The 27,001-nt window shown below is 43.6% G+C and overlaps 1 long non-coding RNA gene across 2 annotated transcripts in view, besides 3 other annotated features; it reads left to right on the top strand.

Annotated features, from left to right (window-relative positions):
- Positions 1 to 14,055: 14,055 nt before the first annotated feature.
- The window catches only part of SLC1A3-AS1 (SLC1A3 antisense RNA 1), a 59,294-nt gene continuing 46,348 nt past the window's right edge, over positions 14,056 to 27,001 (top strand). For both annotated transcript variants that reach the window (XR_007058736.1, XR_001742638.2), the window contains exon 1: positions 14,056 to 14,130. This is a non-coding gene — a long non-coding RNA (SLC1A3 antisense RNA 1). The remainder of the gene's footprint in view (positions 14,131 to 27,001) is intronic.
- Positions 15,059 to 15,328: an enhancer, noted in NCBI's record as "active region_22483". NCBI's record gives its function as "activates an Ori minimal core promoter by ATAC-STARR-seq in GM12878 lymphoblastoid cells {active_cell/tissue: GM12878}" and the evidence as "EXISTENCE:reporter gene assay evidence [ECO:0000049][PMID:35858748]".
- Positions 15,369 to 15,418: an enhancer, noted in NCBI's record as "active region_22482". NCBI's record gives its function as "activates an Ori minimal core promoter by ATAC-STARR-seq in GM12878 lymphoblastoid cells {active_cell/tissue: GM12878}" and the evidence as "EXISTENCE:reporter gene assay evidence [ECO:0000049][PMID:35858748]".
- Positions 15,429 to 15,478: an enhancer, noted in NCBI's record as "active region_22481". NCBI's record gives its function as "activates an Ori minimal core promoter by ATAC-STARR-seq in GM12878 lymphoblastoid cells {active_cell/tissue: GM12878}" and the evidence as "EXISTENCE:reporter gene assay evidence [ECO:0000049][PMID:35858748]".

The following is a 27,001-nucleotide window of genomic DNA, read 5'->3' as shown; positions in this document are numbered from 1 at the left end:
GAATGGATGAACGGACGGTAGAGCTGCCATTTATTGACTTCTGCTACGTCTCAGGGGCTTTGTACATGCTCATTTAATTCTCACATACGTACTTCTCGAGATGAATATTGTTTTACACCATTTTACAGATGGGGAAACTGAGGTGTAGAGAGGTTTATTTATTCTTTTAGTCAACCATATTCATTAAGTTTGTGCTATATGCTAGCCCAGCCTATATGCTAGGCTCTGGGGATACAAAAGTGGCAAGACACATGTAGTCTTTGGCCACGTGGAGCTTACAATCTAGCAGGAAAGAGAAACATAAAAGAGGTAAGAGCGATAGTTTAATAGGGTGCTGTTAAAAGTTGTCCTCTTCCCATTAGGAGCACACAGTATAGTGATACACTGAGCAGCAGACAGGCTATTACAATGCGCTTGTTTATAAGTGCACATCACAGCTACATTGCAATGTAGCTTTACAATGTAGGGTTATAAATGTTCCCTAAGAGTAAGTATTTGGTGCTATAAGAGCACAGAGGAGACAGGCAGGGAGGCTCCTTGGAGGAAGTGACATTCACTGAGACCTGAAAGGTGAGTAGGTTGGATCAGTTTAAAAAAAAAAAAAAAGGGGCAGGAAGTGTTCCAGGCAGAAGGAACAGAATGAGCAAGGTCCAGAGGTGAGAACTAGAATGGTCCCTGGAATATAGATATGGGACGAGAAATGAGGCTGAAGAGGTAAGCAGGTGCCTGAACCTATGGATTATAAAAAGCTTAGTTCAGAGGATGTTTAGACTGGGTGCAGTGACTCATGCCTGTAATCACAGCACTTTGGGAGGCTGAGGCACAAGGATCACTTGAGCCCAGGAGTTTGAGACTAGCCTGGACAACATGGTGAAACGCCATCTCTCCAAAAAAAAAAAAAAAGAAAGAAAGAAAGAAAAAATTAGCTGGGTGCGGTGGCACATGCCTGTGGTCCCAGCTACTTGGGAGGATGAAGTTGGCAGGATGGCTTGAACCCAGGGGATTGAGGCTGCAGTGAGCTGTGTTTGTGTGACTGTACTCCAGCCTGGGTGACAGAGTGAGACCCTGTCTCAAAAAAATAAATAAGATAAAATAAAATAAAATAAAAAGCGTAGACTTGATCTCAAGGCAACCAGGAAGAGGATGAAGGTAGTGGTGAACAAAGTAGAAGGAGGTTAAATGACTTTTGCAAGGTCTCATAGCCAGAAAGTGGCACACCTGGCATTTGATCCGAGGTTCAGTCTAACACTAAAGCTCATCCCATGGCCACTGGCCTATGCTACCAGGAACCATCCTAAGATGTGGAGAAGGAGAGGTGGAGGCTTACTGGCCTACTCACTTTTTCTGCCAATTCCTCCTGGACTTACTGTTTTCTATTGCCCTGGGCCTCCAGCAGCACTAGAAGAGAGCGTGTCCGCAGCCTCTTCTTCCTGGGTGGGAGATGCTGATGCCAAAGAGCAGTTTGTGACAGCACTCCTGCCTCCCGGCCACTCCCGCACCCTTTACCTGGGACTGACATTTCTGTTCACTGTAGATCTGTGCCAAGAAACTGCCTGGCTGCCTCCAAGTGGTGGGGGAGCTGCTGGCTCCACCTGGATCTGGGGGCCTTCTATCGCCTTCCGGGAACAGGAAGCAGGTTCCCATCTGGTAAGAGGAACAGGTGTTGGGTAGGGAAGAGAAGAGGCTCGCGTTCTCTTCCCTGCCATTTGTGTTCTTGCCGGGTGGATTCGAGGTGCATATGCTTGTGTTTTGTTTTGCATTGTTTTCCCGTATACCTCCTCAGCGCAGGGCTGCCATCGTGCCAATGTTTAACTCAATCTATATGCCGTTATTTCATAGTTTGGAACCCCAAAATGTTAAAACTCTTTCATAGTAAACAAAACATTTTCAATAATTGCTCAAGAGAATTTGGAAAAATAAGCTTGTTCGTTCCATCTTTCTATTTTCAGTAGGATGGTTGTCTTTGTTCATATTTTTCTTTTCATATAATATAGTGGCTAAGGGTGCAGTCTCTCCCAGACTTCTGGAGTTCATATGCTGACTGTAGCACTTTCTAGCTGGGTGACACTGGGCATATTACTTAACATTTCTGTGCCTCTGTCTCCTTAATTGTGAGAAAGAGATGATAACAGTATCTATTTAATAATCATAGGATAAGTATAAGGATTAAATGAGTTGATAGAGGTAATGCCTGTAGAATGACGGCTGGCACTTAGTAGGTGCTTCATAAGTGGCAGGCTACTGCTAGTATTCATGATTTAGCATGGGTAATTTTTAATTTTTATTTTTTGAATTCTAGCTGTCAGTCCAAGTGGACTTTTAGAAAATGTTTTGAAGTGAGCAGCGGTGCTGCCCTTCAGCCTCAGCACTCCGTCCATGTGAAGTCCATCTCCATACAAGGAGATGAGTATGGTGGAGAGGGCTCCCCTGAGGATCAACGGAGGAAGATCCAATTCTGCTTTGTTCAAGTTTTTGGGGGTGTTCAGAAATATTTGCAAAGGACAGAATAATATCCTGTATGTTAGCATGTGTTATATCAATCATCTCCAACAACCTTTTGGGGCAGCGTAGTAGCCCACAGCCGCCTCATAAATTATTTTTTTAAATGCAGATAATGTATATCACATGAGCAAAAGTTCCAATTTTTGCCAAGTCACAGGTTAGTGTACCTTTGGTGAGTGCTTCTACTGCTATGTGGCTGGCTTTCTTCTGCAACCAAGTGAACGCCTATTGTTTTGAAGTAAGTTTTCTTTTCATGGTCAGTTCATTCTATAGCTCTGAACATGTAGGTGACTTTTATTTTCTTCTGAAACAGCTTTAACCAGAAGGTGCATGCACCAGTGTAAGGAGAAGGCTGCTTTTTGATTCTCCTAGACAGAGGCTGTGATAGCAAGGTCTGGACAGTCTGCGCTGCCTGGGAATGTGCAGGTGACTATGGAGACAGCGTGGAGGGACAAGAATGGGCATATGGTCCTCATTGGCACAGCATAACAAAGTAATTAAAAATGTCTTAAAATGCAGAAACCCCCCAAACTGTAAAGTATATCATGGTAGATGTCAAATTAGCATTTTCTGTCTCTTTTTAACAATGCCATAATCTCATTAATCTACAGAAGGAACTAAATGCATGGACTCCAACCAGTTGGCTGGACATATGTTGCACATTGGACTGGCCATTTGGCTGGATCAGATTAAAGTGGAGAAATTGCATATTTTTTGGGCACTGAACATAAATCTGGGCCTGCTTATTACTTTTTGAGCTTCCTTTTTGGAGTGATAGATCTGTAAGTGCCAAAAATTCAGCACCAACTTGAGTTAAAAAAAAAAAAAAAGCTTATAAAGAAGCTCCATGGAGAAAAGGGACAAAGGATTGGAGATGGAGACCACATGTAAGGCTGGCTTCAGACCGCTGAGCTATATTTACTAGCAGCATTCACAAGGTCACATGTTTGAATTGTCAAATCTGCAGGATTGGCTCACTTACGGGCAAGGTGGATCCATTGATTAAATATTTTATTTTGAATGATATCATATACTATTAAACCTTTTAGCACAGTGCTATCTCTTAAAATTCTTTTCTTTGCAAATGTAAAAATTAAAAATCTTTCCAATTTTTTGAAAGCAAAATGAAGGTATATTGTTTGAATGAATGCACACACTAATGTTTCCTGATTATTTGGTATGTGCTTAGAGCATTGTCCTAAACATTGGAGGAAAGCGAATTTGAATGTGACCCTGTAAGGTGCTTGTGGTTAGGGCAAGTTCACTACCAGCTCTAATACTGGCTAGAGGATGACATCTTTAGAAATGTGCAGAGTGCAAAGGGGGTTCAGAGAGGACCAGGTCATCTTTGTGTGTGTGTTTGGTGAGAGGAATGGGTGAAGTGAGGTGAGGAAAACCTTCATGAAGAAGGTAGCATTTGAAAAGATGAGGGTAGAATACTCACAGGCAGAGATGGAAACAGGAGGGTGATTTGACATCTCTGGACTCAAGGGGGAAAGATAGGAAGTCACAGGGAGACATGTGAAGGAGACACTGGAGGATGAGTTTGCAAAGGCGGAGGTTGGGTACCATTTGGTGGACAGGAGTCAATGGCAGATCAAGGAGTATGAAGGGCTGTAGGAGCTACTGAAGGCTTCTAAGCAGAGGAATGACAAAAACCGGACCTGTGCTTTCAGGCAGATGATAAGGCATGGTGTAATGTATGAAATGGGCTGGCGAGAACATCAGTTAGGAGACGATGATGGTAGACCTGGCAAGAGAGGATGAAGTCCTCATCTAAGGACAGGCTGTGAAAAACAGGGGTTGTACAGCCAGAGGGACTTTGGAAACAGAAGCCACAGGACCTGGTCACTGAGGATCAGGATCAGAGGAGCTAAAAAATGATAATTGTAAATAATAATAATCATTACGCATTTGTAGACAGGCCAGTTACCATAAAGTTATCTGATTGATAGAATGCTCAATAAACAAATTTTGCTCTATCAAAGATGCCTTTTTAAAGGCAAAGTCTTTTAGTCCTTTGAACTAAGGTAAACTATGTCAGGAGCAGAATGGGTATGGGCGAGATGGGGACCAGGGCTAATGTTCTGTTTTAAGTTGTCCAACACTGCACCCCAGAGGTTAGTCACTCCTGTTAGCTCGTTAGATGTGGAAACCTGACATGAGGACCAGAAGCTGGAACTATCTCTCGGACTTAATAACGCTGCACCCATTTTTCCATGACAAGCCTTAATGTGCTCACAAGGTCTTAGCACCAATTTACATCATCAGTTTTCCAAGAACTTCTGCCAAGGTGGTAGATGGGATGAAGAAATGTGTTTGTAAGAATTCTAAGTACTGCAGTTCCAATAGCCCAGCAATATCTCTATATAGAATTGAAAAATTAAAGGATGCTGCTGGTGGGTGTGTGCTCAAGGTGGTGGAGGAAGGGGGGCTTCCCGGTAGATAGGGTGCTCTTTTGATCTATGCCCTAAATCCAGGGTTCAAGTACCAGCAAGTCTGTCTTAGGGAAGATAGCCATTTGATTTCATCAATTCTTCTTTTCGTGGCAGTAGCATTTTCTAAATGGAAATGAGACCTCAGAGACTCTTGGCCTAGAAATGATGAATTAGAAATCTTTCTATGAAGACTTCTCTGCATTTAACTAAATAGCAATCTTTGGGGATTTAGCAGTATTTGGAGTAATAAACCCATTGCACAGAACAGTTAAATATTAATATGTGGACCTTAGCTTACATTTGTTATAATCATAATGAGATTCTAGTGATATAAGAAAACATTCAGAAATAATTAATTTGGAAGTAATATTTGCTAGCATTTTCTTTTCTTGACATTGTGACTCTGAGGCAGGCAAATATGAATTAAAATGTGTTTCCTGAGTTCAAGTGAAGGTATTAAATTAACACAAACCTTTTGGTTCTTTCTATTGGGGGAGAGACTGCTGAGGAGAAAGAGCCCTTTTTTTTTTGAGACAGAGTCTCGTTGTCTTGCCCAGGCTGGAGTGCAGTGGCATGAACACGACTCACTACAGCCTCCAACTCCTGGGCTCAAGTGATCCTCCCAACCCAGCCTTCCAAATAGCTGGGACTACATGCATGTGCCACCACACCAGGCTAATTTAAAAATGGTTTTTGTAGAGATGAGGTCTCAGTATGTTGCCCAGGCTGGTCTTGAACTCCTGGCCTCAAGCCACCCTCCCATCTTGGCTTCCCAAAGCACTGGGATTACAGGCATGAACCACCGCGCCCAGCCTGAAACAACTTTTAAATTGTGCTCTATATAGAAGAAGTTACGTTGTTAGCAGAGTATGCTTCTGGTGCCCTGTCACTGCCTGCCTTGTTCATCCAGGTGTGGCTACCTGCTGGGTCCTTGACTCATGACTAATGACTATGTTGGAAGTACTCAACAAAGCAGTGAGATTTGTTCCCAGTCCTGTTGAGTCTTTTAGAGATTTCCCCAGGAACTCCCTGATTCTTTGGGGACAAAAACAGCGTATGGAGAGTAGAGGAATTACAACACATTATACATACCTTGGAACTTAACTTCACACTACCCGGTTCACACAGATCTGACCACTTCCTTGCAGGGAGAAATCTCCATTAATTATAGGGTAGTGAAGGGGTGTGTGTGTGTGTGTGTGTGTGTGTGTGTGTGTGTGTGGTGTGTAACTAGTATATTTTCATGAAAAGTGATACAATTCCATTTCATGTTTTTTGGGTTTAATTGATTACAATAAACAATGGAGAGGCCTGGTGCAGTGGCTCATGCCTGTAATCCCAGCACTTTGGGAGGCCGAGGTGGGAGGATCACCTGAGGTCAGGAGTTTGAGATCAGCATGGCCAAAATGGCAAAACCCCGTCTCTACTAAAAATACAAAAAAATTAGCCAGACATGGTGGTGTGCACCTGTAATCCCAGCTACTCGGGAAGCTGAGGCAGGAGAATCACTTGAATCCAGGAGGTGGAGGTTGCAGTGAGCTGAGATCGAGCCACTGCACTCCAGCCAGTGACAGTGTGAGACTCTGTTTTAAAAATAAACAAACAATGGAAATGTATCTTTTTTGATGCTGTGTTGAAGCTGTGGCTGTCTTCTTTAAAGGTCCTGCCTCTTTCCTGTAACAGGAGTATCATTTATTTAGTGACAGCTTGGAAAACTTTAATACCTGTGGGATATATATATATATTTTTAAAGAACTGCCTTCATACATTCCCTCCCTATTAAAAGAAGAGAAACTTATGAACTCCTTTTGTAGATGAAGAAGTCTAATTAACTGAGGCATTATATTAGCTCATGACCATGGGGTCATGGTGACATAAGTGGCAGAAAGAACCCAGCCTGGGTGCTCTAGAGTGAGATTCAGATCTGGGTGCTGGCTTTGTGCCTTTCCTGCTGGAGTCACCTTTGGGCAGGTCTTCCAGGCCCCTGAGCCTCAGTTGGCTTGTATGTAAAATAGAGATACAATAGATAAGAAAGGCATGTAGAGACTTAGAACAGTGTCTGGTACCTAGTTAATGCTCAGTAAATATTAGTAGTCATTAACATCGTTATTATCAGTAACTGAAGTCTGCTCCAAGTGCCCATGCTTGGATGGAATCTCGCTGCCTCTGTTCAGGATGGGGGTGCTTGGTTGCTGATTTGAGTGACCTGCTTTAACTTCTAGCCTCATCCTTCCCTTCTTATTCCAGTCTCCTTCTACCTCCATGTGCCTTCAGTCTTTCGAAAGCTTGTTTTAACTGCCCATAGGTCAGAGCAACCTGTGCCGATATGCTTGGACTTAAAGAACAATTGCTGCCCTTCAGACAAAAGCTTCATTTGGAGAATTGTATAATGTTGAGCCAGAAGGATTACAGGCTTTGAAGCCACACAGACTGGGTTTGAATCTTAGTTTCACTCCTTATGCTCTAATGAAATTCCAGCCCAGGGAGCCCCATAGTATAGTGATTTCAGGCTAGAGTGCTAGGGTAAGACTGTGTCAAAATCTTTAATCCCTAGAAAAATTACTTAATCTTCCTAAGCCTCAGTTTCCTCATCTGTAAAATAAGGATACCGATTCCCACCTCACAAGGTTGTTGTGAAGACTGAAATGACAAAAGCCATGGCGCATTGTACCTGCCTTAAATGTTAGCTATTATTATCATCATAGGAACCTTGGCTCTGCCATATCATAGCTGTTTGTGACCTTGGACAAGTTACTCAACCACCCCCCCAAGCCTCAGTTTCCTCATCTGGAAAATGGAGTTAATAATAATCCTTACCTCATAGGATTCCTATGAGTACTAAATGGTATTATATGAAGTTCTCAGCTCAGAATTATTGCAAACACCCTGAAAATATTTGTTACTGTTACTACCATTACAGTCTGACCTTGGGAAAGTTATTTAACCTGGTCCTTGCTTAAGAAACTCAATTTTTTTTTACCTGTAAAATTGCAATAATTATATCTGTCTCACAAAGATGGGATAAATAAATGTAATCATGTACATAAAGGACCTGATACATAGTAGGTATTTGGTGAAGGGGGCTGTTATTATTTCCACAAATTAGTCTTCCTGCAGGAGAGCCGTCACTGGCTAAGAGGCTTCATGGACAGCTTCATGCCTTTCATTTTCTGCCCAGGTTGAACCACATTCCCCACAGAACTGACATCTTTCCAGAGTGGATAATGTTCCAGGTATCACCATGCAACCCAACCCCTGCCTGGTTGCAGGCCTGTGTAATTGCTCTGCACACAGACCTCGCTCCCAGGGCGCCAGTGGTGGCCTGGCCCGTGAGGCCTCTATATTTGATTTCTGGAGGTCAACAAACAAACACTTGAATTAAATAAGCATGTTAGTCATGGTAAGTTCAGGTTGCTGTAATTAGCTTCTGTCTGGCCTGCTGTAAGCAGCAGCAGGCCTGTGCTTCTTACTGCCTGTGTAGCCAGAAAACACTGGTCTCAGAGCTCTGAGGGTGCTGGAGCCGAAAGCACTTGACATTGATGCTTTAGGACAGATGCTGGTAAGGCCTCCTTCTGGGGTGGTGGTGGAGAGCGTGGGGCCCTTCATTTTTCAGGCTGTAGAGAGTTACTGAGCAAGCTATTAGGCTTGGCATTGGGGATACTAAGACAGGCTAGACACAGTCCCTGATAGCAAGGAACTATGATGGGGACAGGAACAGGGATGGATGCAGAGGCCAGGAAACCAACAATGATTACATCTCCCTGCTGGCTCCAGGACTGAAGCCACGTCAAGTTCAGACTGTTCTTTGGGGCTGGCTGGGGAAAGATATTCCCCTATAGATATGCCACACTGTTAGCAGAATATGCTTCTGGTGCCCTATTACTGCATGCCCTTCTTCATCCAGGTGTGGCTACCTGTTGGACCCTCGACCAGTTCACCTGCGAGGTGCCCAGTGCCCCCTTTGGTCCTTCTCCCTGCACAGGCCCAGCTCCTCTCTTGCCTCAGAAATTCTGAGCTCCCTGGGCCTCATCTCAGCTCCCCTTTCTTTCCCTTTCCTGGGAAGGTATCACCTTTTAGGCTAAATGACACTCTCTGCATATCATTATCCTGCAATCTGCCAAACTGGTGATGCATTTAATCATTGTGATAATGATAATAATAATGATGATAACAATACTGTGCTTTGGTAAAGCTCTTTTGATCTTTCAGAGCAATTGTATCTACTCCCTCCCTTTTTTTTTTTTTTTTTTTTTTTTTCAGAATCTGACACATATGCATATTCATCATCTTCACCGTGCATTCATTGAAAACCTATCATGTGTGTCATCCCTGCAGGTGCAAAGAAGCTTAACATACAATGTCCGCCCACCCATCATCTACCCTTCGAGGGCAAGCAGTGTGGAAAGTCAAAGTAACATGAGCTTTGTAACTCTCCCTGCTCACTACTAGTTCTGTGACCATTGGGATATTACTTAACCTCAGTTTCCGTGTCTGTCATGCAGGAATAATAATAGTACTTCTTTCTTAGCATCTTCATGTACAGGAATCCCACATATAATCCCACGAAATGTCAGCATTGAATTAGGCACCCAGAATGTTCTAGGGACTTTGTAACCATAATCTCTTACACCTTACCACAGCTCTGCCAGCTCTAACTGCTTCCATTGTACAGGTGGGGAAACTGAGGCACAGAGACCTTCTCCAGGTCACAAAACTATTATGTGGAAAAGCTGGGATTCAAATCCAAATCTGGTCTAGCTACTCTGTTCTTTGCAGTACAGCCTCATTGGAGCTTATTAAATGCAAAACCCAAAGGAGTGGTACAGACAGTGAGAACTAGAGAACTCAGAGAAACAAGTCCAAGAGATGAGGGCATGGTTATTCTGAAGATGTTCTCAGTTCACCCTATTTTTAATTTTATAAACTGCTACTTTTAAAAAGAAAACAACTTATGTATAGTATTCCCGAATAATATGCTTTTATATTAATGATTGCATGTGGTCAGACATTTTGCTTTCAGTCAGTGCTAATGTGAGGCATTTGTATTCAAAGTTTTGCTTAAATAAAAGGGGAGCATTTTATTTAAAAAGAAGCATTTCGGTGACAGCGAGGCCAAATACACTGTATGCGACTCTGTGACTCAGTTTTGCATTAGTGCCCTCTGGTGGTAAATCCTAGAAATCATTCATGTCTTTCAGAGTGTTAAGAAGAACTGAAGAGGAAAAAAACCTGAATTTACTCAAGATCTTTCTGACATTTCTTGCCAAAATATTAACCAGTAAATGTTGGAATCCTTTTTTCCACATAAAATATCTTTATAAAGGTCTAAAACTGTAAGAAATAGGTGACTTTTAAACAAACATTGGCTAAAGGTGCCTTTAATCGTTTTGGGTGGGGAATATTTTGAAATCAAGTATTTTATGTTATGTGAATTAATGTCAAGGAAAGAAATATTACCTAAAGATTTTTCCTTGCTATCTTTTCCAAAGGGTCATTTTAGAGAATGGTGTATCTGAATAAACTTTTAATTTATTTGTGTCTTTTTCTCCATAAAATATGCTCAGCAAAAGAAAGGACGTCTAAATTGGGGTTTGCTTGGAATTGTATGGAGACATTCTTGCAAAGTCTTTGGTTGAGGGCTGAATATCCCACTTTCCCTTGGATGTTCAGGAGTCTAAGAGTGGAGTTGAAAGTAAATCATATGTTTCTGAGGAGATTATCATTGACATTTCCATATTTTCCCTCAGTTTCTCAAATGTGCCATCTAATTCTGCAGCCCACAGATTATTCTGAATGATGTTCTTCCAAAAGGGCTTATCTGAGTAGGTGCTATGGGCCAGCCTGTTTCATCTTCATGACAATCCTTCGAGGTATGATTTTAGCCACATTTTTCTACAAGAAGGGGACTCTGAGAATTTAAGGTAACTTGCCATCCAGCTGCTCCGTGGCAGAACTGGGATTCAACCTCGAGTCTCTGACCTCACGGTTAAAGACCTTGACTTCTTGCTGTGGACGACTGCAAATGCTGGGTCACGTTCACGTTCAGCTTGAATCTCAAACAGAAACGATGAGATGGGCTGTGTTACGTTCCCTCAAGTGAGAGTCGCAGTGGGGCTAATGTGTTTGTGTGAATAAGGATTCTTCACTGACGTGTGGCAATATCACTCTACAAAGCCATGGGAAACAAAGCTCTGCTTTCCCCCTACGTTGGCACTGGTGGCCTGTACTTACGGCAGTGAGATTTGCATACAGCCACATCTGTCCAGCCTGGTACAGAGCCCTTAAACAACAGGAGCCCGTCCTCTGGCACAAGTTCAGATTCCCAAGGAGACTGCCCTCATACCACTAGACCCAACCCAAACTTGCGCCTCACTAGGTATTGCCCTTGGCCCCTGACTTTTTTTTTTTTTGAGACAGAGTCTCACTCTGTCGCCCAGGCTGGATTGCAGTGGCGCGATTTCGGCTCACTGCAAGCTCCGCCTCGCGGGTTCACGCCATTCTCCTGCCTCAGCCTCTCCGAATAGCTGGGACTACAGGTGCCCTCCATCACTCCCGGCTAATTTTTTTTTGGTATTTTTAATAGAGACGGGGTTTCACCGTGTTAGCCAGAATGGTCTCGATCTCCTGACCTCGTGATCCGCCCGCCTCATCCTCCCAAAGTGCTGGGATTACAGGTGTGAGCCACCGCCCCCGGCCAAGGCCCCTGATTTCTTACTCATTTGCTCATTATGTGCTAGCCTGTCCCTAAGATTTGGTACATTTTGCTACTGTTCTGACTAGTGACGTTAGCTCTCAGTGGAAATTCAGCCTCCCTTACTTGGATAAAGTACTTTGTAAAAAAATTTTGCGAAACCAATTTTTTCACTCACTGATACGCTGTTCTTAGGAGGGTAAGTAGACTCTGGAGGGCACTTTCTCAGGGAAGGAATGAGGGTCTCAGGCTCTGTGGGGAAGAAAGGCATGCAGAGGTGGCAGCTGCAGATGGCCTGACGGGTGGGAAATTTTGCCTCTTCTGGTTTCTGGTCACCCCAGCTTCTTGAAAGACTGAATTGAGGAGTGTGGGTGTTGGAGTGGGGTGAATGGGATAGGAATAGCTCTATGAGCAGCTGAAGCTACTCCGTTGGTACCATCGGGACCATACTGTTCTTTTCATTTGGAATCCTGAAAATGGTGCATATATAAAGACCTTGAGGGCTTAGCAGGTGTTGGGGAAACCACCACATTACTGATCCTTCAAGAGACCAAGACATAAAAATAGTGCCTCTTATTTCTGGCCTTTTGGCTACTGTTACTTCTGTGTCATTGTCTCTTATTACCCTCACTTCTAGCCACACCAGTCTTATCACTGTTCCTTGGATGGGCCTCAGGGCCTTTGCACTGGCTGTTCTCTCTGCTTGGACCACTCTTCCTCAAGATAGCCACATGCCTCACTCCCTCACCTCCTGCACTCTGCTCAAAAGTCAACTTCGTAGGGAGTCCTGACTTGACCACCCTAATTTAAATTGCACTTCTGATTTCACTTACTTTGCTTTTTCTCTCCATAGTGATCACCTCTTAACATATTACAAAATTTTCTTAATTTTTTAATGTTTATTGCCTATCTCCTGTTTCACGCTCCTTCTTGCATCCCTGAATGTAAACTCTGAGAATAGTGAGGTATTTTTTGTCCTTTTTGTTCAATAACAAACACTCAGTGCCTAGAATAATGCCTTACAGGAGTGCTTTATAAGCATTTGTTGAATGAATGAATGAACTAATGAATGAAGTGTAATACAAGGGGCAAAGGATTTGGCATCCTTTGGTCATGGAGTGCTGCTCAGATATGTACTATAGAAACCATTCTGAAGCATTTCAAAAGACATCCAGTTTCTCCTCTGTATACTGCAAAATCTTGGGCTTAGGTTCTGGCATTTAGTCTATGACAAATGATTGCTGGCAAAAGTTGAATGAAGCAGTTAAGAGTATGGGTTTGCAGTAAGATCCAGGTTCAAATTTACACCTTTCCATGTACTACCTGTGTGACTTTGGTGAAATTATCTTCTCCAGGCCTTAGGGTGAAATGTATGTGAGAATGCATGAAGCCTGCCACGTGGTTAATATTAAGAGTGATAACTCATATTATCATTGATGGAGGTGAATGAAAGAAATGGAGTAACACGCTTTTAAAACACAGTTTCCCCTCCATTATCATTTCAACCACTTTAGATGAAAATATTGAGGGATACATCCACAATTTCTAGTTAATTAAAAAATATCAGGAGGTCTTAGTAGATTCTAGATTTTTCCTTCAATGAAATGAGTTGTTAAATAAAAGGCCTCCATAAGTACAGGGTCTTGTCGTTGGGCTCTATCTTATGAGCGGTGGATCTGCCTCCCAGGAAGGTAGGCAGACACCAGTGAGGCATCTGGTGCTTGGGATGCAGCGAGTGGAGCCAAGCAGAGAATGATCAGATCCGTTTGCCTGGAATTTCTGCATTTGCTGCCCCAAACATCTGGAGCCAGGCTACCCAGTGCAGATGGAAAATAGCAAAATGCAAATTCCCTGGGTTCAGCTGAGGGAAGCCAAGGCAGACAGAGTCTGAGAAGGCGGATGAAAGGTGAGCCAAAACAAAAGCCCTGGCGGGTGGTGGGGCAGCGTTTTATCTAGAGCCTACGGCCCCCGGTAAGGACAGGAGATGAGAGAAGGGACCTTAGAGCTACTTGGGCCACCTTCATGTTCGTACTCATCCCCCTCCTTAACAGCCTGAAAGGGAGCCTGCTGGGCTTACGGCAGCCTCCCTGTCCTCTTCCTGATGCCATGCCTGCTCCATTGCTTTGCTTCTTCTGGATCCTGTTTCGCCCTCTCCCTCAAGAAGGAGATCCTGAAATAGATCCTGAGTCAATGACTCAGGTGCAAGTGCTTTATTAAAGAAAGGCTCCCAGAAGAAATCTACTTGCACCCGAATCATTGACTCAGGATCTCCTTCTGGGAGAATCCAAGCCAAGACAAGACAGACAACCCAACCAACTGAGCTGCTCACAGCTTCAACTGCTACAACCCTGGAAAGGATTCTGATTGGCTAGCTAAGGGTCACATGCCCAAATGGGCCTTTGATTGGCAGCTGTTGCTTCCTTCCTACTCCCTCCCACACACCCAGGAGCTCCAGCCTGTTATGGGATGGGCATCCTACCAGGAACCAAGGATGCTAAGGTAAGCAGTCCTTGCCCTCATAGGTTTACTTATACTTAAGGGGAGAGAACCGTTAGTCAAATCACCCCACATACAGATCTTTACACACTATGAAGGACAAGCACAGGGTGCAGTCAGTGGGAGGGGCCCAGAACGGGAAGTGCCATGCTGGCTGCTGCTGTGTGGAATGGGCTGTAAAGAGAGCAAGAGTGAAAGCCACAGCAGGGGAGCTGGTCAGAGATGGCAGTGGCTTTATTAGAGTGGTGGCCCTGGAGTTGGAGACAGGTGGGAAAAACTCAAGAGCCCTCTAAGGAACCGACCCATGGCAGTCCATCGCCACCAAGTCCCTCTTACCACTCTAGGTTTAAAGAAACCCAAAAAACAAAACTACGTTGCAACTGCACTGCTACACCAGGAAACCTAAGGGGGAACAAAAGAAAACTTAGTAGTGCCCTCTAGGCTGAAGATTTGACCTATTATTTACTAACCTTTCCCTCCCTCTTCCTTATTTTCAACAAATCTCCTGCCATCCATTTTGAATTCTTCTCTAAATAGAGAAAGCTTTCTTTCTCAGCTTCATTTAAATGTCCACCATGGTATTTACCCATGTTTTCTTGATTTTTATTTCTTTTTGGGGCGGGTATCTAAAAGATAATCTGATCCCTGTTCCTGATTCTGTAGGTGACAGAGAGAAGTGGTTTTCTCATTTTTTTGTGTGTGAAATTATTCGCATATGAGGAAAAGATAGCTCAAAAATAGAAGCTCTTTCATTATCTCTCCACAATGTAGTGTGGCCCCAAGTGACTATTTTGTGGAGACACGGTAATTTGGGGTGGCTAAATCATTACCCCGAGGTGTGTCAGATGCTGCCAAGACCTCCTTCATTCATGTGGCCAAGACTGTGGGCTTCCTGGCTGGGGAGGCAGAGGCCCTGCTCTTCTGCTGCTAACCTTGGGGTCAGCGAGCCCTGATCCACACTTCCTCTGGGCAACATCAATGGGGCTGCTGAACATATTGAGCCAGACTTGTTTCCAAGAGATAGAAGGAACTAGAGCATTGGGGAAAGTCCCAAGTAACTCTAGCCCTCAGCCACCTGCTGTGGCTGAAGATGAAGTCTCTGCAGCTTCAAGAATCCAACTGGCTGGTGCACATTGTTCTCATTGGCTAGATCATTCCTCCATGTAGCACTTCACTAAACTCATTAACAAATATTTACAAATGACATTGCTTTTTGGGGTCATGTATATTTCAGTCTTCAGAATCCATCAGGCACTCAAATCCCTTGGCAGTTCTAGTTCTCTCCCCTAGACATGCCTCTGCCCCCTACTACTCAGTTCCTTTTATTTCTACCATTCGTTTTTATTTTCTATTTCATTTCTTTACTTTTTAGAGACAAGGTCTCTGTCACCCAGGTTGGAGTGCAGTGGCATGATCATAGCTCACTGCAGCCTCAAACCCTTGGACTCAAGTGATCCTCCTGCCTCGGCCTCCTGAGTAGCTGAGACTACAGGTGTGTTCCACCACATCTGGCTAACTTTTGTATTTTTTGTCAAGATGGGGGTCTTGCTATGTTGCCCAGGCTGATTTCAAACTCCTGACCTCAAGCTGTCCTCCAGCCATGGCCTCCCAAAGTGCTGCCTACCATTATAGGCTGCCATGCCTGGCCCTTATTTTTTTTAAAAAATGATCTTCTCCCTTCTATGTAATTCCTATTCTACCTGTATTATTCTTCTTTCCCTGTATTATGCTCGTCCCTTGCTCTTCTTCTCCTCTCCCTTTCATTTTAACCACTCTTCCATCTCCTGCTACTGCATGTGAATCAGATTTGCCCTCCAAATACCGTGTGTATCACCATCAGTTCAGTGGCAGAGGCTGTTCTTGCGCTGGCTTGGAAGATGACAGTTCCCAAAGTATTCCCCATAGAGGCTGATCGGTCTGACCCAGCTAATGCTACCAGTTAAAATAATCCTGGCTCAGGGCCCATGAGACTCACCAGTCCTTATGTGGTATTGGAAAGTGAAACTGATTTGGCAGCCTCATTAGATTATAATCAGCTCGAATCTTCCCTTCTGCCTTCTCAGAGCATCACATGTGTCCCCAGGAACAGCAGAGGGGAAAAACCACCTCTCCTCGCCCGCTTTCTGTATTTCTTCTAAGGTTCTTAGTTCAAATTAAATCTTTACTCTGTGAGAGCAGAGAATGACTCATTGGCCACCATGACTATCACCTTAAGTGGGCTTCTAATTTGTTTTAGAAGCTACTAGCGACCCCTAGGATAGCATCTACAATTTCAAGAGTGTAGTTTCAGAGTACTGACTGTATGCACCAATAGATGCCGGGCTGAGAAGTTGGGACCACATTCGGTAACAAGAGTGATAATAGCTACCAGTTCCTGGTTGCTTAGACACTTCTGTATTAACTTGTTTAATCCTCGGATCAATCCTATGGGGTATTTACTATCTTATCTTATTTTAGGAGGTGGACGCTGAAGCACAGAGAGGTTAAGTAACTTGCCTAAAGTAACAGAGTTAATAAGTGGCAGAACCAGGATTGGAGCTCCAGGAGACTGGCTCCAGAATCTGTGCTATTAATAGTTCCTTGCATCATAATCTGTAGGTTATGAGAACTACAGAAGGTTGGTACCTAAGCTTGGCACAAAGACAATGATACTTAGGGATAGTCATTTGGAAGGAGAGAGATAGAATAATTGATGGGAAAGTCAAGGAATCCAGTAACAGAGTCTCTGGTAATAATCTTGGTATGTGAATTAGGGTGGAATCTGCGAATGTGGAAAGCTATAGACATGAGAGATGACGTGAAGGAAACATTTGGACTAATGTGGGACATAGAGGGGGAGAGCATGGTGGGAGCGTTCCACCTGAGAGAATGGTGGGACCAGGGTCAGAAGGAGGGGTGACAGAAAGTGCCTCTGACTTGTGTGTAACCCTGAGATTTTAGGCTGATAAGGTTTCAAAGACTCTGGCTCCCCTACACTTCCTTACCCAACACTGTGTCCCCAGAAGGAGGGATGCTGCTGTGGATTAGTTACACTCCATGAGGCCAGCAGGCTTGAGGGCTAGAGGGTGGGGCTTTTGCTGGAAGAAGCAGAGAGATTGGAAAGAAACACCCTGTATCCCTCGTCTTCTCCATGTGTACTTTCTTAGCGTCTTCCTTTGCGTATGCTAGATCATGGGACGTCTGGTCCAGGGCACCTCTGGGCCTGATTATCCCCCAACTTCCTTGGATGACCTTTTGGCTGGGGCAAGGGGAAAGAAGCGTGGAAAGGTATCTTAGGGGACACACATGCTCACATTTTCACACAACCTCATACTTCCTCTTCTGGAGAGAAAATAGCAAGATGAGCCCATCAGGAACATGGTGGGGCCTGGGAGTAATTAGCCAGGTAACAGGATATTCCACCTGCCTTCACTCTAGCTCTGGTGCTCAGAGGAAAAGGGGGCCTCCCAAGCTCCCCAGGGTGGGGCTACAAGTTTGGGACTGAAACTCCAGCCTGTGCTGACCATGCATTTTCCCTTAAGTCATGTCCTCCTCTGTGCCTGGAGCAGAGGTCATCAATGGGGTGAGATTTAGGGACCCAGAATCCACCTTTCTCAACCATGATAATATTTCTTTTGTCTACCCAAACTTAAATTCCCTTCTCTAGTTCTTTAGTGTCCTAATCTGCTTATGTTTTCTTATTTCAAAAAGATACTCAGCAGTGATAAATATCCTTGAAGTATTTGGTGCACAAAGCTAAAAGGAGCTATAAAAATAAAGACACCTCCTCCCTCAGGTATTTTGGTGCCGATAAAATGATGATATCTGAAGCCCTGGTTATGAAGAGCTCTTATTTCCGATAAACAAATAAAAACCAAGGGCTATATGAATATTAATAATTTGGAGATGCAGGTGGAGGTATTGCTATTCTTGAACAACATATGTTCATACTTCATCACTTTAATTAACAAAGTCCCTTTTCTTGTAATTTTAGCAGGAGGTATCCCAGGGTAAGAGAACAAGACCTGGATTTATGTGAATAGGATTTTTTATTTCATCACTGAATCCAAATAGCATTTTCCTAGTGTGAAAACAGATGGCAGAGACTTTATTTGTGGTCAAAAGCATTATGTCTGAGAGTGAACCTTTCTTTGGCAGGCGGATTTGCATAAATTCAGGAAGTGATTTAAGACATGATATGTCTCCTAGAACCAAATCCATAGCAGGTACTTTTATTAACAAAATTTATACACTCAAACACAGTGACTCAGAGAAGCTAATTTTCATTTTGGCAAATCATGATTTTTTTTTTTTTTTTTTGCTGTCAACTATATATGTGAAGATTAGAAGTATCTCACGAAACTGTCTGTGAGTCAGCATTTGCATGTTTCTCACGCCCTCGCTGAAGAATTTCTTCTGATTTGGTTTTTAAGACCTCTGTGTGTTTGACAGAAATTACTTGGGGGAAGTAATCAAATCTTGGCTTGCTGTTTACCTTAGTAGATACCAAATTATAATTTTGGTATCTTCAACAATGAAAAGTTTAAATAAGACACTGTCCTTAAATGATGTTTGAAACCATAAATTACTTTGCAAACATAAGGAGTTATTATTATTTATACAACATACAGCTTTTATACGAAGCCAAATTTCTCCTACATTCTCAATGGAAATTAGAAAATTAGGTTAACTCTTCCTTGCTTCCAGAGTAAAATTGGATAACCGTGGTTTTGGAACCAAAATGGGGTACCTGCTGGGAAGTTTCTGAGAGCCAAACACAGATGTGGAAAATAGCTGGAAGGCATGATGTGTTTACAGTGACTTACTGTCATAGTCTATTTTTGGGTCAATTTCCTTCTCATAGTCCATCAGTGAACTTTTTGGATTGTGATTTCTTGAATATTTCTTCTTCATTTCTTTTCACCTCCACCAATACATTGACAAATTCATATAATGAAGAAGGATTAGCTGACACAGTGCCAGAGCTGGGTGAGAGTTCCGAAGTGGACAAGGTAGAGGCGATGTGCACCAATGAAATCTGTGCTTGGCCACATAGGGCCTTGCAGGTCTCCATAGACCTAGGGAGTCTCAAGCTTTACTGTGACAAGAATCTCTTGGTTAGCAGTCAATTGGCTTGTAAACAACAAAACCGAACAAAATTCTGAACTAATAATCAGGGATGGAGGCTAGGAATCTGTATTTTTCACAACATTCCAGGAAATTCAGATGCAGCTGGTTGAAGGGCCGCAGTTTAGGAAACGTTGCTTAGAGTCCCAACTCCATGGCAACCTAGTGCTCAATAAAATTGATATCAGTTATTAAAGTCCCTACTTTTCATTGCATACAAATCAGGTAGTTCTATCTCAGCAAATGTAAATGAACACATGGATGTGGCATGTCCACTGCAGAAGGCTTAAATATTTCTGATTCTTTCTTCTCCAAGGTTGGGAGATGCAAAGTGAGGGTAGATGGTCTCAGAGATGTGACATGGTCACTGTGACCAAAGAAAACAGTGTGAGAATGTATATCTAGGCTTTCAATACCCTGCACTTGAATTGTTTTTTCTGTGTTGACTTGTAAGTCAATAAGAAACAACTGGAATCAGCCAATTTGTAAATAAACACAGAATCAGGAAAAGTACAGAGGATGATGACATGAGGCAGCAGGGATCCAGCTCGTTGTGCAAGAGCAAGATAGAGTGACAACTCAAAAAGCTGTGAGTTATAATGCTCCAGGAGCTATGTGAGCACAAGAGGATTCTCAGACTCAAGATGCTATTGTGTGGCTTTAATAAATGTATTTAGGTCCTTACTATTCTGGGGGTCCACATGTAAAAGGTATGAATGGCGCACAGCATAGACAGCATAGAAATGTGTTTTGTGAGCTACAACACAAAGAAAATGGAGCTGTGGCTCTCAGAGCTTTTAGATAATTTGGCAAATGTTTCTTGTGCACTTACTGTGTGCTCAGCATTGAGCCCAGCGCTATGATAGGCATGACACAAGTTCTGTGTTATACACCAGCTAGACAGCTGCCCTGTATTTCTCAGAGCAAAGCTGAAGCTGGCTTTCAGTTTCTCGGTGTAGCAGGCAGATATAAGCAGCTTTCTAGCGTTCTGGTCGTTCACGCTCTTTTAAGGGGCCAACTCTATCCCTCAACCTGGAGAGATTAAAATGCCAACTAATTGCTGCAGATCACTGATTTCTAGTTCAACACTTGAAAAAAATTACTGAAGACCATTGACACACTTGAGAGATGTGCCTAACCCCGCGAATGAATAGTGTGTGGGAGACAGCATCAGGGAAATGAGCCAGATGTGGGCTCTGGAGTCCCTAGACCTGATTTCAGCGTGTAATTTTTGTCACTTCTTGCCCCCTCTGAGCCATAGTTTTCTCCTCTCCAAAAGAGAGATCATTCTACTTACCTAATTAGGTTTACATAATCATTAATAAAATACAAATACATATGGCACAGTACTGGCCCATCATAGGGACTTAGGAAATAGAAAATGCTCCTTTCTGCTCCTTGTCCTCATATCCTGAGCCTTCCTAAAATATAATCTCATTTCTGGTTAAACCTCTAAGTCAAGCATATAGTACATTTTGGTTTACACGTTCCTAGAGGGCAAACTGCTTGGGGAGAAGCCCTGTGTCAGAGTTCACTGCAAACTGAGAAAATATTCGAGTTCTCAAAAACAGAACTCATCATCTTCCCAGGGGCTTGTCATAGCCCCTGAAGTCCTTCCAGGAAGCAGAGCCTGACACAAGGGTTTGTGTGCAAGTAGCTTATTTTCAGAAGTGATTTCAGGGAACTGGAGTAGGGGACTGGGAAGGGGGAAAGAAAGAAAGAAGGCAAATCAGTACCTACAAAGTTGTATGATCAAATTTGGTGGCAGTTGTGGGAAACTGGAGCCTGATCCTCCTGGGACTCTCTGACAGCCATGAAGAATGAATCTCATGATTGCCTACTCAAGGGACACGATGGGGACAGGCATCCACAAGCTCCCATCCTTGGCTGGTCAAGGATCAACTCCAGGTGTTAACTCCCTCACACTGCCAGATTCGCACAAGTGCTGGGTGATTCTCATAGATGTCCCAGGCCAGGCGTCTGAGAAGCCCCTGTCAATCATGCAGCAGAAGTGAGGTGTACTCAGGAAAACTGGAGTAAAATGTGAGGTCCAGAGAACATGAAATGGACATAAGCGACATCCAGCACAGGGCTCTGTCAGCAGAAAAGTGAGCAAGTCTGCTTCTCCTTTCAAACCTTTTACAAAAGTAGCCACTGGAATATTCTTCAATTGCTTCCATGTGGCTTTGGGAAGCCTCACTGTTCTCTTGGTTTTCTGAACTCTAATTGCATGTACAGGCTCAGTAACTTGGCACTTCGTGACATATCTCTTCCTTGTCCTTCAATGTGTTTCTGTGTTTTAATTGTGTCCCGCTTCCCCATGAAAGACATCAGTTTCTTTGGGTAGCTGGGGATGGAGTCTTTAAATTCCGTTTTATCCTATCAACCCCTAACAGTGCTCTGCAAAAACCTGTTGACTTGCGCTCACTTGGTAGATGATAAATCCTTTCTCTCTATGCACAATTATCTTTTCAAAGGCCTGTGGAGTCTTCCTACTCCCTAACTATATTGAGACCCTCCCAATTAATGGGGCTTGGAAAGCAGTATTTTTAATGAGAGGCAGGGAGCAGGGAGCACAATGCCAGTGCCTCAGGGTGTTGTAAGATTTTCAGCAGCGATTCATTCTGCACTCTTTGTATTTGGTTTCATTCCGATTGCTTCACAGCCAGTAGCACTCAGAAGGGACATATATTTAGACTAAACTCTAAGCCTCTTATTGAAACTTTCTGTATATAATGAAATACAAATGTGCTGGTCCTTTCTCTGCCTAACCTTTTCCCTTTCTACTGAAGTCCTTGCCAGCTGTAGATACTGTATGGTTATGAGTGGTGACTAGGGCCTGCAATGGGTCAGCAGGGGACTAGTATTCACCAAATTCTTTTATTATTTATTTATTTATTTTATTTTTTTGAGACAAGGTCTCACTCTGTCGTCCAGGCTGGAATGCAATGACATGATCTTGGCTCACTGCAACCTCCGCCTCCAGGATTCAAGCGATTCTTGTGCCTCAGCCTCCCAAGCAGCTGGGACTACAGGCGCCTGCCACCACGCCCAGCTAAATTTTTGTATTTTTAGTAGAGACGAGGTTTCACCGTGTTGGCTAGGCTGGTCTCGAATTCCTGACCTCAAGTGATCTGCCTGCCTTGGCCTCTCAAAGTGCTGGGATTACAGGCATGAGCCACCATGCCTGACCCCGAATTCTTTTAGATGACAAGGTATCCAGGTTACCTTCACTCTTTCTTACTGTGAGACTGGAGCCACTTATATGAGTTACTCCTGGCTGCCACATTCAGTGGGGCAGCTTGTGTACTGCACGACTCCCAGGAGGCATTCACATCACAGTCAGTATGAATGTGCTTCCTGGAGGAACGCAGTGAGTAAGTTGTGTAGCCACAAATAGTGACCCTATCTGAGGCCCCATCCCAGTTCTCCTGAATCAGAATCTCTAGTGGGAGCACCCAGGAATCTACATCTTCACAAATCTCACAGGTTCCTATTAACACTAAAGTTTGAAAATCACTGCTTAGGGATAGGTTTTGAGAAAAAGATACATCAGAAGGAAAGAAATGTGGGAAATTATCTCAGCATCTATGCTGTCCCTGGATCCTTTGCTTTCCAGGCTTAAATGTACACAGTGGGTTTCATGGATAACTCAGTGAATCATTGCCGTTCAGAGTATGATGGCCCTGCTAGTGATCTGGTCATCTTTTCATCTCTTTCCAAGCAGGCCTCTCTTGTTTTATTTTCTGAGAGCTTTTATATTCAAAAATTTTAAGAGAGAAGTTCTATCAGGGCACTCCATATTGAATGGTGGCCCCCATTGGGTAGCATCTGAAGCAGAGTTTTCTCCTTGGCAACTGGCCTTACTGATTTTCTGTTTACTTGTATGTGGCTCCCTTTGGCTTGGGTCCTCACCTTTAATTCAGTGAACATTAGCTATGGCATCTTAAGAAAGGTCTACCTGTGATCGCTTTTCTCTGAAGGGAGCTATGGGCATGGTCAGCACACACCATCGCAGACACCATGTCCCATAATAATAAGAGCTAGTATGTGTTGCACCAGGCATTTTTTCTAGTACCTCAAAAACAACTCTTTGTAATAGATGTTTTGTTATCCTCATTTTAGAGATTAAAAAATTGAGGCATGGCCGGGCGCGGTGGCTCATGCCTGTAATCCCAGCACTTTGCGAGGCTGAGATGGGCAGATCATGAGGTCAGGAGATCGAGACCATCCTGGCTAACATGGTGAAACCCCATCTCTACTAAAAATACAAAAAAATTAGCTGGGCGTGGTGGCGGGTGCCTGTAGTCCCAGCTACTCAGGAGGCTGAGGCAGGAGAATGGCGTGAACCTGGGAGGTGGAGGTTGCAGTGAGCTGAGATAGCGCCATTGCACTCCAGCCTGGGCGACAGAGCGAGACTCCGTCTCAAAAAAAAAAAAAAAAAAAAAAATTGAGGCATAGAGCTTGACCAATAGTTCAGAAATGGTCCCACAACTGGAACCCATATAAGCTCCAAGCTGCTGTTATTTATGACCACTGGGGTCATGGCAAAAGATCAGTGTGTGGGGTGTGTGCGTGGGGGTGGGGGCAAAAGATTGTGTGCGTATGCATGCATGTGTGTGCATGTGTGTATGTGTGCTGGGGTAGGACAGGGATAAGAGGGAGAGTGCAAGGCACAACTTAGGTCAGAAAGGCAAGAACATGCGGAAGCCTTCATTGGTGCATGTTGGGGGAAGGAGTTGGGAGACAATGACGGGTGCCACAAAGCCTCAAGACAGAGCTGAGATTGCCTTGAGGGCCAGACAGGATTCTAGCAAGAGATTCTGGGGAGTTGTTCTTACTCCTTTGCTGACTTCTTATAAAGGATTAAAAATGGCATCTGACTGTCCATGGTTCCATTGAAAAATAATGCCACATTAAACACCTTCCTATGGAGCCATAACCTCTGTTCTAGCCAATACCCTCCATGGCCTGGTTCTACTTGATGGACAAGCCCTGAGAATTTAGGGTTAAACAGGAGGGGATATGAGTGTGTTTAAGGAATGAAAATGGGGAGGGTTGTACTCACATTGCCAAGGAGCATAAAGTTTGCAGTAGCAGTGGAGGACTGGAAGACTACCCTACCCTGAAGACCACGGTTAGGATCCAGGCCTAGAGCCGCTACTAAGCATACAATCCAATCTCCACTAAAGATAGGGCAATTATTCCAGTAATTCAGGAGGGGAGCTGTTGAATTACTAAAATAATTACCTCCACTTTATTTCTTTTCTCTTTTGTATTTAGAGAGAGATTTGGTCGCTTCCTTCAATGTGTGCCACATCACCAGCCTTGTGCTGCCTCCTAAGTCCTTAGATTTTTTTGAGCAAGACACAATAGTCAGTGAAATATCCTTTACCTGGGCCTGTGTGGGCCTTGGCAAGATCTCCTTGGGGATTCTGAAACTAAACTTTTTCACCTTCCTTAGCTAGTTTTCTTCAATCAATGGTTTAGAAACTAACAAGGGGCCAGGTGTGGTGGCTCACGTATTTAATCCCAGCACTTTGGTAGGCCAAGGCAGGCAGATCACCTGAGGTCAGGAATTCAAGACCAGCCTGGGCAACATGGTGGAACCCCATCTCTACTAAAAATACAAAAATTAGCCGGGCGTGGTGGCACATACCTGTAATCCCAGCTCCTGGGGAGGCCGAGGCAGGAGAACTGCTTAAACCTCAGGGGGTGGAGGTTGCAGTGAGCCAAGATTGCACCACTGCACTCCAGCCTGGGTGACAGAGTGAGACTCTGTCTCAAAAAAAAAAAAAAAAAAAAAAAGGAAAGAAAAGAAAAGAAAGAAACTAACAAGGGATACTTGGTTTAAGGAGAAGAAAATGGCTATTTAGTGTCTCATGTTATTCCCAAGTCACAATTGGTTTCTTGTTGGCTAGAAATGATTTGGCATAGTCCTGACTGAAGGCAGGGGGATGAACAGGATGACCTTTGATCTCCCAAATTCTGAGCAGGCAGCTGGGCTGTGCAAGGTGTAGATTCTGCCCAATACTTGGCACACTGTGTGAATTGGATACTTAAATAATCCAAATAGATTTTGGTGCTCAGAGCAGACTTTGAAGGAGGGGGCCATAGTTCTCTGGGTCATTTTTTCCTCTGGGAAATACTCACAAAGATGTACTCTGTCTTAGGCAGAATGATTACTCCAGAGACTTAGGAGTTTCAAGACAGCCGAATGCAAGATAAGAAAGGGTATCTTGGAGAAGATAGACTGTTCGTCCCCACTGGGACTCTTGGGTATAGCACATTATTGACTTCAAGGCAAGAGGCCATGAAAGTGCCTTTCCTTAAGACAGTAAACTCTCTGTTTTCTGAAGTGAATGGAAAAAAGGGATGTTTTTGTTCCCTATATCAGTTTCCAGAAATGAGTATATTGCACAGTGTACTTCAAACTGTGATGCTACCAAATATAATTTACTGTTACTTAGATGATTCGGAAGCCCCTCTGGGATCCTGTCAATAGTCAGAAAAAAAAAGGCTTTCTTGTTATAACATATTCTAAACCAATCATGCAATCAATTGGAACTTACAATTTACATGTAACTGTCAAGGGATTATACCAGTTATGTGGGGAATATAAAGAGATATAAGCTGTGGACACATTGATTGCAAACAGAGTTACATCTACGTGGGTTCTTTGTCGGAGCTTAAGACTAGAACTCAGTATTTGGCGCTTGTGATGGGTTTAGTAGATCTGCCCCCAGTGTCCACTTCACTTGCCTTCTAATATGCCTTCCTGCACTGCCGAGGCTGGAGAACCAAACACCACATTTCCTGCACACCCCCGCCCTCAGGATTCTGGATGTGATTTAAATCCAGCCATTATGTTGCACTGGTGCAAGGTGAGGAAGGCAGAAATGAGGCAGAAGCCATGCTTTTTCTGTGTCTGCTTTTTCTTTTGGAATTGCTTGTGGAGGCATTTGCATTTTCTATGGCAGTGTTAGCAGAAGTTTGTTCATGTCAAGAGGTGAGTCACAGAGATCTCCTTCTGCAGGTGAGGATTAAAGCATGTCTGCTATGACGTGGAGGCAGTTTCTATCCATGAAAACTTCCACACTATGGTGGCTTCCTGACTTTGGCAGTCTATGGTTTAGGACGTGGTGGTTTCCTAATCTTGGGTGACCCAAGAGCTTCCTTGTGACCCAATTCTACAACGTGACATTGGGAGTCATTTCTGAAATCTCAAGCTTAGTCTGTTTTCTTGGCTCTCCCAATAATTCAGTGAGCTTTTTAATGCTCTATAATCCCTTCATGCTTAAACTTGCTAGAATGGCTTAAGTTCTCTGCAATAGGACCCTGACTATGACTGTTACTGGTGCCAGGAGGGTTACAGACAACATACTCTAAAGAAACTGGAAACCTGGATTTGTGTTTTCTGACCTGATTGGGTTTGAAAGGAACAATGATGAGGTTAGCATTAGAATATGGAATGCTTGCAGTGCTTGACAGTGGCAAAATAGTTACTTAAAATATCACCCACTGGTCACTTGGAATGAAGTGCCCAGTGAAGACAAGGCTTTAGTGGACTGAGTGCCTGCTAATCATTATGGAGAAAATGAGGAAAACATGGACTGTGGATTTGGATGGCTGTCTCTGCCTGCACTGGAGAGCTTTAAGAAGAAAACTATATGCTAAGAATTTTAAAGTTTTTAGTATGAGGCATGATCTGAGGACCAGGGAGCTTCTATGACTTTCTAGAAGAATCATTTATTTCATGTAGCCACAG

This window comes from Homo sapiens, chromosome 5 (assembly GCF_000001405.40).
Source record: "Homo sapiens chromosome 5, GRCh38.p14 Primary Assembly".
Classification (NCBI taxonomy): Eukaryota; Metazoa; Chordata; class Mammalia; order Primates; family Hominidae; genus Homo; species Homo sapiens.
The sequence above is the reverse complement of the archived record's forward strand: the minus strand, read 5'-3'. Positions and strand labels throughout refer to the sequence as shown.